Source organism: Homo sapiens, chromosome 6 (assembly GCF_000001405.40).
Source record: "Homo sapiens chromosome 6, GRCh38.p14 Primary Assembly".
NCBI classification, from domain to species: Eukaryota; Metazoa; Chordata; class Mammalia; order Primates; family Hominidae; genus Homo; species Homo sapiens.
The window spans coordinates 104,831,792-104,844,406 of record NC_000006.12 but is presented as its reverse complement, the minus strand read 5'-3'; the positions used below and the strand labels follow the sequence as shown (position 1 = coordinate 104,844,406).

At 38.4% G+C, this 12,615-nt stretch overlaps 1 protein-coding gene across 18 annotated transcripts in view; it reads left to right on the top strand.

The window, feature by feature from the left end:
- HACE1 (HECT domain and ankyrin repeat containing E3 ubiquitin protein ligase 1) overlaps positions 1–12,615 on the top strand; it is a 131,826-nt gene that overhangs the window by 15,513 nt on the left and 103,698 nt on the right. For 10 of the 18 annotated variants that reach the window (NR_146789.2, NR_146790.2, NR_146791.2 and 7 more), the window contains exons 5-6: positions 1,109–1,184; positions 11,234–11,365. The exons of 2 other annotated variants lie outside the window; for them this stretch is intronic. Coding sequence is in view for 9 of the 16 variants with exons in the window: in NM_020771.4 (NP_065822.2) it covers positions 1,109–1,184; positions 11,234–11,365 (208 nt within the window). In the remaining 7 variants the exon portion in view is untranslated. The remainder of the gene's footprint in view (positions 1–1,108; positions 1,185–11,233; positions 11,366–12,615) is intronic. 6 more of the 18 variants (NR_146787.2, NM_001350557.2, NM_001350556.2 and 3 more) reach the window with 2 other exon arrangements.

Here is a 12,615-nt window from a genome sequence, read left to right as displayed (position 1 = left end):
GCATCACTGCACTCCAGCCTGGGCAACAAAGAGTGAAACTCCGTCTCAAAAAAAAAAAAAAATGTTTATGATGGGCCACCGTGGTGACTCACGCCTGTAATCCCTGCACTTTGGGAGACCTAGGCGGGCAGATCACGAGGTCAAGAGATCAAGACCATCCTGGCCAACATGGTGAAACCCCGTTTCTACTAAAAATACAAAATTAGCTGGGCATGGTGGCATGCGCCTGAAATCCTAGCTGCTTGGGAGGCTGAGGCAAGAGAATCACTTGAACCTGGGAGGCGGAGGTTGCAGTGAGTGAGCAAAGATCCGCCACTGCACTCCAGCCTGGGCAACAAGAGCACAGCTCCATCACAGAAAAAAAAAAAAAAACCCATACAAAAATTAGCTGGCGTGGTGGCACACGCCTGTAGTCCCAGCTACTCGGAAGGCTGAGGCAGGAGAATCACTTGAACCCGGGAGGCAGATGTTGTAGTGAACCAAGCGTGCCACTGCATTCCAGCCTGGCAAGACTCTGTCTCAAAAAAAAAAAAAAGTTATGATGGCAAATTTTATATGTATTTTACCACAATACAAATAACTTAAAAAAAAAAGAATCTCTACATCCCCCTCCTCACCCTCCAGTGAGTAGAGGGATGCATAGACATGCATTTTATTGATATTCTGAGTATGGTTTTGTAACATCTTAGTGTTATGTTTTAAATGTTTTGCTGTCAAGAATGTAGGATACAATGTTGAGACATCATTTTTCTCTATCCATTCCCCTTCCATTAGACTTGTATTTTGTTATATTTCTAATGAATATTACTATTTCATGAACTTAGTCAATACTAGAAACTTCTCTACAGTTTGAATGTGATTTGTCCCAATGATATGAAAACCTGACTGTGTCATTGTTTTATCCTGTTATCTTTGAGTCATAGAAGCAGTTTTGTATCTTGCGTCAAGTAGTGTTTGTTTAAATATTGCAGATATGGCTTGATATTACAGATAAAGATGTTATGATGTCATCAGCTGTTATTGATTGTTGCTAATATTTCAGTAAATTAATTGTCATTTGCATATATTTTTTAAGTACCAGTTATCCATGACTCTTTTTTCTTTTCAGGCAGAAGAAATGTATGAGTAAATTATTAGAATATAGCGCTGATGTCAACATTTGTAATAATGAAGGCCTTACAGCAGTAAGTGCTATCAATTTCATCTGATGTTTTAAAAGTATGTTTTAGAAAATGATATTGAATGTGACAGTTAGGCAAAGTGTAGTACAAGTGTTTCTGCAAGTTACTTTTTTTTGAGACAGAGTCTCGCTCTGTCACTCAGGCTAGAGTGAGGTGGTCTAATCTGTGCTCACTGCAATCTCTGCCTCCTGGTTCAAGCGATTCTTGTGCCTCAGCCACCCAAGTATCTGGGATTACAGGTATGCGCCACCATGTCCAGATAATTTTTATGTTTTTAGTAGAGGTGGGGTTTCACCATGTTGGCCAGGCTGGTTTCTAACTTCTGGCCTCAAGTGATTCACCTGTCTCAGCCTCCCAAAGTGCTGGGATTATAGGCGTGAGCCACCGCACCTGGCCTGTGTTACTTCTTTATAGGGATTAAGAAGGTGTAGAATGATTTGAGATAAAGTTTTAAGCTATATTAAGATAAGTTATGGCTTACCATATTTCTCTCTTCTCCTTTTTAAGTTTATGACTTTTGTTTATTTTGAAGCTTATTCCCCTAGCCTTTGTCACTGACTTTTAAGGGACTTCCTAGGAGCATCTCTGCTGAGGTGTGTTATGTGTTCATTCTTGGAGAGCTGTTTTTCGTTATGTTCTTTTAAATACTTTTAATATGTTCATTGTAGAATTAGATAGCTAGTCAGAAAGGAATAAAAAAGGTAACAGAGGGAATGAGCACTCCCTGTATTCCTTGCACTCTGAGATAATCACGGTTAAAAAAAAAAAAAACTTTTGTATTTTCAGTAGAGACGGGGTTTCACCACGTTGGCCAGGCTGGTCTTGAACTCCTGACCTCAGGTGATCCACCCGCCGGCCTCCCAAAGTGCTAGGATTACAGGTGTGAGCTGCTGTGCCCGGCCAATAAAACCTTTTTTTAGAGACAGGGTCTCACTGTCACCCAGGCTGCAGTGTAGTGGCATGATCATAGCTCACTGCAACCTCAAACTCTTGGGCTCAAGAAATCATCCAGCATCATCCTTCCAAGTAGCTGGGACTATAGGTGTGTCTCACTACCCTTGGCTAGTATATTTTATATTTTTTTGTAGAGGTGGGGTCCTGCTTTGATGCCCAGGCTAGTCTTGAACTCTTGGCCTCAAGCAATCCTTTCACTTCTGCATCCCAAAGATAAAATTACTGTTAACATTTTGTCCTGTTATTAGACTTATATTTTATATAAAGTAGTATTGGCCATTTTGCCATACCACTTTCTTTGCAAAAATAAGTTTATGTATTTTTGAATCACATGGAGGTGGTATGGGATATTGCTGAAGAGATTGTTGAAATCCCAAAGTTTTAACCAAATTGTCATTATTTAATGGAGCATTATTAATTTTAGAAGTAGAGATAACATAGAATTATGTTACTGTTGAGTAGTTGTTTTGAAATCATGGCAGAAAATGTTAAGTTTTATTTATTAAATTATACATTCCTTTGATAGTATTTATATTTTGAATCTTTTAATTTTTGAATAAAGAATAATATTGAATATTTACTTACCATGCTGGTTTTCAAGGCCTTTATGATTAAAAATTGGGGAATGAGGTATAGAAAAACAACTTTCCTAAAATTTTGAATGGCTTATTATAGAATAAACTCAATCATGATTATTATATGGAATCTACAATTCCTGTAAAAATTCAGATTTTGTTATGTATTAATAATATAATACCACCTATTCTGTAAGGAAAGACTGTATTCTGAATATCCGTAGGATGCTTAGTGACACGGTACGTGCAACAGAGGGTTATGAAACCCTAGAAATGACATAGATCTTTCCTTAGGACACTAACCAGTTTAGGCATGATGGTTGAATGTTAATATAATCTGTTTTAATTGCATAAGATGTTTTCTGTTAATTTCTTCCCTTCCTTCCTGTACTTTAAGGGAGGTGGAATAGAAAATTTGTAAAAATAAAATTTTTATTTAACAAAATTATTCATGTATGTATTTAAAGAATCAAATATTCTACCTGGCTTGTAGAAAACAGTCTCTTGGCCTTCCTCCCCAACCTCCAAACTTCCCACTCCCTAAACAACTTCTCTCAGCTATTTTTTTTTTTTTTTTTGAGACAGAGTCTCACTGTTGCCCAGGCTGGAGTGCAATGGCGCAATCCCAGCTCACTGCAACTTCCACCTCCCGGGTTCAAGTGATTCTCCTGCCTCAGCCTCCCGAGTAGCTGGGAATATAGGCGCCTGCTACCATGCCCAGCTAATATTTTTTGAGACAGAGTTTCACTCTTGTTGCCCAGGCTGGAGTGCAATGGTGCTGTCTTGGCTCACTGCACCCTCCACTTACCGGGTTCAAGCAATTCTCCTGCTTCAGCCTCCTGAGTAGCTGGGATTTCAGGCATGTGCCACCACGCCCAGCTAATTTTGTATTTTTAGTAGAGACGGGGTTTCTCCATGTTGGTCAGGCTGGTCTTGAACTCCTGACCTCAGGTGATCTGCCCGCCTTGGCCTCCCAAAGTGCTGGGATTACAGGTGTGAGCCACCGCGCCCAGCCTTTTTTTGTATTTTTAATAGAGACGGGGTTTTACCAGGTTAGCTAGGCTGATCTCGAACTCCTGACCTCAGGTGATCCACCCGCCTTGGCTACCCAAAGTGCTCGGATTACAGGTGTGAGCCACCGCGACGGGCCTCTCTCAGCTATTTTAATGGATTTTAAAATGTTGTCTCTATATCTAAATAGCATGCTAAATGCTACTTCCTGGTTTTTTGGTTTTAGGTATCACCTGTTGACTTTCTGGAAGATGAGGCTATTGTTCTCTTTTTCAGCCCCTCCTCCCGCCCTGTGGTGTATAAGCACATTAGCCTTGTATCCCTCCAATACAATTATTGTAATTTTAGTTAGATCATTTTTGTGTGTTATTATTTTTTTGAGTACACGAAAACTATTCATAGTTAAGCCAAATAGTTGGTTATAGTTGCTTTCCTTTCTTGCATAACATTTTATTTTCCCTGTAGTTAATGATTGTCTTTTTTTAGAAATTAAGATAATTGTAGATTCACATGCAGTGCTAAGAAATAATAGAGAGAGAGAGTTGCCCTGCACTTTTTGCCGAGTTTCCTCCAGTGGTAACATTTTGCAAAACTATACTATAATATTACAGTAAGGACATGGACATTGATACAATCTGTCTTACTGAGATTTCCTCAGTTTTATTTTATTTTATTTTTTTGAGACAGAGTCTCGCTCTGTTGCCCAGGCTAGAGTGCAGTAGTGCAATCTCAGCTCACTGCAACCTCCGCCTCCTGGGTTCAAGCAATTCTCCTGCCTCAGTCTCCCGAGTAGCTGGGACCACAGGTGTGCGTCACCATGCCCAGCTAATTTTTGCATTTTTAGTAGAGATGGGGTTTCACGATGTTGGCCAGGCTGGTCTTGAGCTCCTGACCTCAGGTGATCTACCCGCCTTGGCCTTCCAAAATGCTGGGATTACAGGTGTGAGCCACCATGCCTGGCCTTCCTCAGTTTTAATTGTATGTGTGTGTGTATGTTTATGTATTTTAAGTTCTATTCATTTTTATTACTTGTGTAGGTTACCTGTGTAGTTTTATTACCTGTGTACATGGTAGGTTTTCACCACCATAGTCAATATTCTGAACATTTCTAACACCACAGAGATATGTCATGTTGCCCTTTTATAACCATACCTTTCCCTTTGTCCTTCACATCCCATGGCTAACCTATAGCAACCATTAATTTGTTCTCCATTAGTCATTTCAAGAATGTTACAGAGATAGAACTATATTGTATGGAACCTTTGGGGATTGGCTTTTTTTGTTTGTCACATTCCTTGGAGACTTATCTAGGTTATACTTATCAATAGTTTGTTCCTTTATAATGCTGAATAGTATTCCATCCAGTAGTGGATATACCACCATTTGTTGGACTGTTCACCTGTTAAAAGACATTTGGTTCACTTCTGGTTTGAGGCTATTATGAGTAAAGCTGTTAAAAACAGCAGGGTACACATTGGGATAAATGTCCAGGAATGCAGTTGTTTTCCGTAGTGGCTATACTAATTCACATTCCCACCAACAACATATGATAGTTCCTGTTTCTTGACATCCTTGCCAGCATTTCTTATTGCTTGTCTTTTGGATATAAGCCATTTTAATAGGGGTGAGATGATACCTCATTGTAGTTTTGGTTTGCATTTCTTTGATGATCAGTGATGTTGAGCACCTTTTTATATACCTGTTTTCCAGTTGTATGTCTACTTTTGAGAAGTGTCTACTCAGATCTTTCATTCTTTTTTTAATCAAAATTTTTTTTTTTTTTTTTTTTTTTTTTACTATGGAGTTGTTTGAGTTCCTTATATATTCTGGTTATTAATCCCTTGTCAGATGGATAGTTTGCAGTTATTTTCTCCCATTCTATGGGTTGTTTCTTTACTTTGTTGATTTTTTCCTTTCCTGTGCAAAAGTGTTTTAACTTGAAGTGATCCTATTTGTCCGTTTTTGCTTTGGTTACTTTTGCTTTTACTTAAAAGCAAATTTACTCAAGAAATTTGCTCAAGGGGTATTACTCAAGAAAGCTTTGCCCAAACCAATGTCCTGGAGAGTTTCCCCAGTGTTTTATTTTAGTAGTTTCATGTCTTAGATTTAAGTTTTTAATTAATTTTTGTTTGATTTTTGTATATGGCAAGAGATATAGGAGCCTAGTTTCATTTTTTGTGTATGGATATCCAGTTTTCCCGCACCATTTATTGAAGAGATGGTCCCTACCTCCAATGTGTGTTCTTGGCACCTTTGTAGAAAATGAGTTCACTGTAGATGTGTGGATTTATTTCTGGGTTCTCTGTTCTGTCCCATTGGTCTGTGTGTCTGTTTTTATACCAGTAACATGCTGTTTTGGTTACTATAGCTCTGTAGTATGATTTGAAGTCAGGTAATGATATTCCTCCAGTTTTGATCTTTTTACTCAGGATGGCTTTTGCTATTCTAGATCTTTTGTGATTCCATATAAATTTTAGAATTATCTTTTCTGTTTCTGTGAAGAATGTCATTGGTATTTTGATAGAGATTACATTGAATCTATAGATTGCTTTGAGTAGTATGGACATTTTGACAGTATTGATTCTTCCAACCCTTAGGAATATTTTTCCATTTTGTGTGTGTGTCTTCTTCAGTTTCTTGCATCTTTTTCTATAGTTTTCTTTTAGACATCTTTCACTTCTTTGGTTAAGTTGATTCCTAGGTATTTTATTTTATTTGTAGCTGTCATAAATGGGATTACTTTCTTTACTTCTTTTTCAGGTTGTTTGCTGCTGACATCAGAATGCTACTGATTTTTGCATGTTGATTTCATATTTTGCAACGTACTTATTTACCAGTTCTAACAGTTTTTTGGTGGAGTCTAAGTTTTTCCAAATACAAGATCATATCATCTGCAGACAAGAATAATTTGACATCTTTCTTTCTAATATGAATGTCCGTTATTTCTTTCTTTTGCCTGATTGCTCTAGCTAGGTCTTCCAGTACTGTTTCTAATAGTGGTGTTAAGAGGGTCTTTTGAAGAGCAAAAGTTTTTTAACTTTGAAGTCAAATTGATCAGTTTTTTGCATTATGGATCATGCTTTTGGTATCAAGAACTCTTTGCCTAGCACTCACTCCTGAAGATTGTCTCATATATTTTTTTCTACAAGTTTTATGTTTCTGTGTTTTACATTTAAGTCTATGATCTCTTTTGAGTTACTGTTTGCATAAGTTATGAGGCTTAGGTCAAGGTTTACTCTTTTTTTTCTGCCTATGAATGTCCAGTACTAGCACTGTTTGTTGAAAAGGCTGTCCTTCCTACATGAATTTGCTTTTGCATCTGTTTCAAAAATCAGTTGGGCATATTTGTGTGGACCCACTTGTGGACTTTATATTCATTCCACTGATCTGTGTGTCTCTGCTAATCTCTCTGCTAATACCACACTGTCTCGATTACTGTAGCTGTAAGTCTTAATACCAGGTAGAATAATTCCTCTCACTTTGTCAAGATTGTGTTAGCCATTCTGATTCCTTTGCCTTTCCATATAAATTTTAGAATAAACTTGTCTGTGTCTACAAAAAAACCTTGCTGGGATTTTGATTGGAGTTGCTTTAAACTGATAGGTCAATTTGGGGAGAATTGTTATCTTTACTGTGTTGATTGAGTCTTTTAATCCATAAACACAGTATATCTCCACACTTACTTAGGTCTTTGATTTTATTCATTAGAATTTTGTACAGCACAGTGGGGATTTTGTGCATGTTTTGGTAAGCATATAACTGTTTCATTTTCTTTGGCATAATTATAAATGGCCTTGTGTTTTTAATTTGAGTTTATGCATGTTCAGATGGAAATGCAATTGGTTTTTGGTTTTGCAATCTTGCTGAACTCACTTATTAGTTCTGGGGGACTTTGGGCAAATTGCTTGAGATTTTCTACATAGACAGTCATGTTGTCTGCACGTAGAGACAGTAATTTGTTTATTTATTTATTTAGACAGAGTCTCACTCTGTCACCCAGGCTACAGTGCAGTGGCGCAATCTCAGCTCACTGCAACCTCTGCCTCCTGGATTCAAGCAATTCTCCTGCCTTAGCCACCCTAGTAGCTGGGATTACAGGTGTGTGCCACCATGCCCAGCTGATTTTTGTATTTTTAATAGAGACGGGGTTACACCTTGTTGGCCAGGCTGGTCTTGAACTCCTGACCTCCGGTGATTCACCCGCCTCGGCCTCCCAAAATGCTGGGATTACAGGTGTGAGCCACCGCGCCAGGCCTTTATTTCTTTCTTCGCAGTTTGTATGTCTTTTGTATTTGTTTCTTGCCCTACTGCAACTTTATTACTTTAAAGTTTTCTTATAACTTTTTACTAATTCAATTCCAAGGTCTCTCTCAGCTTTGTAAATATCCTCTTAATATGTATTCAGTACCTTTCATGTGCTTGATTATGTCTTGAAGGAGTCTCTTACGGAGACTTCTGTGCTCTCTTGGCTGGATTGGTTGATACCTAGGTCTGCTGCACAGTTGTTTGGAATGTCTCATCATCTGGGGATTCCTTTTGCTTTTTTCTTGCTTTGGGTTCTCTTGTTATATGGGTCTCATATCCATCTTTTCTGATAACTATTCTGTCACTCTGATGGAGCACAACCCTGAGAGTTTCCTGAGAGTGTGCATGGGAGATGTGTTGCCACCTTGCATGTTTGATATGACTTGAGTCTTTGAGTCTGATTATGTAATTGACAGTTTAGCTGACAATCTAGACAAGACATCATTTTTCCTTAGAATTTTGAAAGCATTGCTTTGTTGTGTTCTAGCTTTGTTTTGAAGTTTAGTGCTATTTGGATTCTTGATTCTTTATATGAAACCTGTTTTGATTTTTCTCTCTAGAAACTTATAGAATCTACTTTGTCCTTAGTGTTCTAAAATCCTGTGATTATTATGTCTTGCTTTGGATTTATTTTATCCATTTCGATGGATAATATTGAGACCCTATCAACCTGGAAACTCATGTAATAGGAACTTATGAGAAATATTCATAAATTATTACTTTCATGATTTCTTTTTCTGTCTTTTCTCTGTTTTATTTTTTCCCCAACTCCTATTATTTAAATGTTAGACCTATTCACACTAGCCCTTTAATTTTCCTACTTTTTCTCATTTCTTTTCTTTGTACTTTTAGGGAGACTTCCTCAATATTATCTCCTAATTCTTGTTTTGAGTTTGCACGTCTCTATCATAGTATTAATTTCCAAGAGTTTTTTTTCCTTGTCTCTTTCAAAAAATAGTATCCTTTTCTCATTTCAGGGATGCAATCAGTATGTTCTCCCTCTGACAGTATTAAATATAGTTTTTTCTTGAATATTCATGGTTCCTTTTTCCCCCTACTTTTTGCTTTAAAAAAATTTGTAGTTTGTCTTTCAAATTAGATGCGTTTATCAGATGTTTGGTGGAAATGGAAAAAGCTATTTGAAGGCTGTCAGCATGAGTGAGGCTTTGTTCACTAGAGGCTTCAGTGTAGGATGATCTCCTTGGACATTTGCCTCTTAGACCTTTCCAGTGTCGATTTCTTTAGGCATTTACTCTTGAACTGGTCATATTCCTCAGAGAAGACTCTTCCAACTGCCCGGAAGATGTTAACAGTCTGCGTGCTGGATAGAGAAGAATGCTTTGTAAAATCAATATTCAATATTTAAACTTGCACTTAATCTCCCCTTTTTAGTGTGGTATTCTTTGTTCAATGTGCCTGTTGTCTCTTATCTAGAGACTGTTTTCAAGCCTCTTGCATTCTATCTGGTTGAGTGGGGGCCATTACTGGCCTTGCACAGTTGGGGAGGGGTAGAGATATGAGGCTCTAAATCTTATTAAATAAACTTTCAACCTCTTTTCAAGAGGTGCATGGTACTTACTATTGATTCTTGAGCCTTTTGGGAGTCCTGTGATCTGAATCACATTTTTTGGGGGGTTTCTCTAATACTGGTGTAGCATTCTGACAAGTCAACAAGTATAATCTGACAAGATAAAAAGCATCATCTACTTTCTTTGCTTCCAAAACTTGCTGTTCTCTCCTCTGTATCTTTATGGATCTAGTCTTTTAAGGAAATACTCTTTACTCTCATTTCCGTGGGGTTTAGGGAAGAAGTAGAGACTGATGCATGGATTAAACCTGCCATTTTAAAACAGGGATTTCATGATTTTCTTTTTAATGAAAAAAAATCATGTGAAAAATTAATGGATAGCATAGTCCAGAGTTTTAACATTGATTATCTTTGAGTGGTAGACTTATAGGTGTTTTATATATTTTTTACCCTCCTTTATTTATGTAAGATACATGTGTTACTTGTAAAATACAGGAAGTAAGGAATATAGCATTGCTATGTTAATTACTTTTTAACTTATGTTTGCTTCTGGGAAAAGAAAAATATCTAACACCTTTTCTCCAGAGACAAACTATGCATAGAGTCCAGGATTATCTGAGAAGCAGAGTATTTGATGATTGGGAGCTTAGTATACTTACTGTTTTGAACCATTATGAGTTATTTTAAAACGATTTTTTTTTTTTTGGAAATAGGTTGTCATTCTGTCACACAGGTAGGAGGAGTGCAGTGTCACCATCATAGCTCATTATAGCCTCAAACTCCTGGGCTCAAGGGATCCTCCCACCTTAGCATCCTGAGAAGCTAGGACCATAGGTGTATGCCACCATGGCCAGCTAATTTTTTTTTTTGAGACGGAGTCTTACTGTGTTGACAGGCTGGAGTGCAGTGGCACGATCTCAGCTCACCGCAACTGCCGCCTCCTGGGTTCAAGTGATTCCCCTGCCTCAGCCTCCCAAGTAGCTGGGATTACAGGCACGCACCACCACGTCCAGCTAATTTTTTGTATTTTAGTAGAGACAAGGTTTCACCATGTCGGCCAAGATGGTCTTGATCTCCTGACCTTGTGATCCGCCTGCCTCAGCCTCCCAAAGTTCCGGGATTAGAGGCTTGAGCTACCGTGCCCGGCTGCCCAGCTAATTTTTGAATTTTTTGTAGAGACAGGTTCTTGCTACATTGCCCAGGCTGATCTTGAACTCGTTGCTTCAAGCAATCCTCTTGCCTCAACTTCCCAAAGTGCTGGGATTACAAACGTGAGTCACCACTTGGAGCCCCACTGAGTTCTTGATTTTGAAATCTGTGGTAATGTAATCTGCATCTTGATACCGAAGTTTTCCTCATATAAAACCTAATTTCAGCTATTTAGGAGGCTGAGGCAAGAGGATCACTTGAGCCCAGGAGTTTGAGTCCAACCTGAACAACATAGCAAGACCCCAACTCTAAAAAACCCCCAAACCTGTAAATAAAACTTAAACAAATTTAAAAAAGGAAAAAAATGACATGGACTTAAAATACCTTTAGTTTTAAACCATTACATGGACTTAAAACACCTTTAGATTTGCATGTGCAAATCACGCCCAGCTGAGAAATAACATTATTTATCTGCTGTTTTTATATAAAACACTATTACACAAATGTTAAGTAACTAAATGGCTTCACAGATACATTGGCTGGCTGTGAATGGGCGGACAGAACTACTCCATGACCTTGTGCAGCATGTCAGTGATGTTGATGTTGAGGATGCCATGGGGCAGACAGCACTGCATGTTGCCTGCCAGAACGGTCACAAGACGGTAAGTTGAGCCATGAGGACTTTAAGCTGCATGTGTTTGTTTTTTAAAATTGATTTCATGAAAAGTTTTTCATTGTGCATATTTGGGAACATGAAGCATTATAGCAAAATCTTATTTTCTGCATCATATGGACTTTTTTTTTTGAGACAGGGCCTCACTTTGTTGCCCAGGCTGGAGTGCAGTGGTGGGATCCTAGCTCACTGCAGCCTTACACTCCTGGGCTCAAATGATCCTTCCACCTCAGCCTCACGAGTAGCTGGGATTACATGCGTGAACCACTGCACCTGGCCCATATGGACTTCTGATAAATATATTCTGTATGGTTAGAAGAAATAGAAAATAGTGCTTTTGGGCTGGGAGCCGTGGCTCACAGCTGTAATCCCAGCACTTTGGGAGGCTGAGATGGGTGGATCTCTTGAGCTCAGGAGTTCAGCCTGGGCAACATGGCGAAACCCCATCTCTACTAAAAATACAAAAAAATTTAGCTGGGTATGGTGGCATGCATCCGTAGTCCCAGCTGTTCCGGAGGCTGAAGTGGGAGAATTGCTTGAGCTCAGCAGTCAGCGGTTGCAGTGAGCTGAGATTGTGCCACTATACTCCAGCCTGGGTGACAGAGTGAGAGCCTGTATCAAACAACAACAACAACAACAACAACAACAAAAAACAGGAAAATAGTGCTTTTATATCTGTTCAAAATATTTGTAATTTGCATTTTGATTTTATTTCTAATTCATAGGTTTTAATAGCCAAACATACTAAATTTTTAAATGTAGTATATTCACATTTAATTTTAACATTTATAATGTTCATTCTGTTCTCAGTTTTAGCAAATAAAACTTCATATTTTATTTTATCTTTTGCTGTTAAGCCTCAATTTTGGAGATTAGATAGTGAGGAAAGTGAGCAATGACACTGGTTAATAGTATGAGTCAGGTTATCCTATTTTTCTACTTGCATTGTGTATGGTACAAGTAACAGTTCTTTCTTTTCTTTCTTTTTCTTTTCTTTCTCCTTCCTTCCTTCCTTCCTTCCTTCCTTCCTTCCTTCCTTCCTTCCTTCCTCTCTTCTCTTCTCTTCTCTTCTCTTCTCTTCTCTTCTCTTCTCTTCTCTTCTCTTCTCTTCTTTCTCTTTTCTTTCTCTCTCTTTTTTTTGATGGAGTCTCACTCTGTTCCCCAGGCTGGAGTGCAGTGGCGCCATCTCGGCTCACTGCAAGCTCCGCCTCCCGGGTTCATGCCATTCTCCTGCCTCAG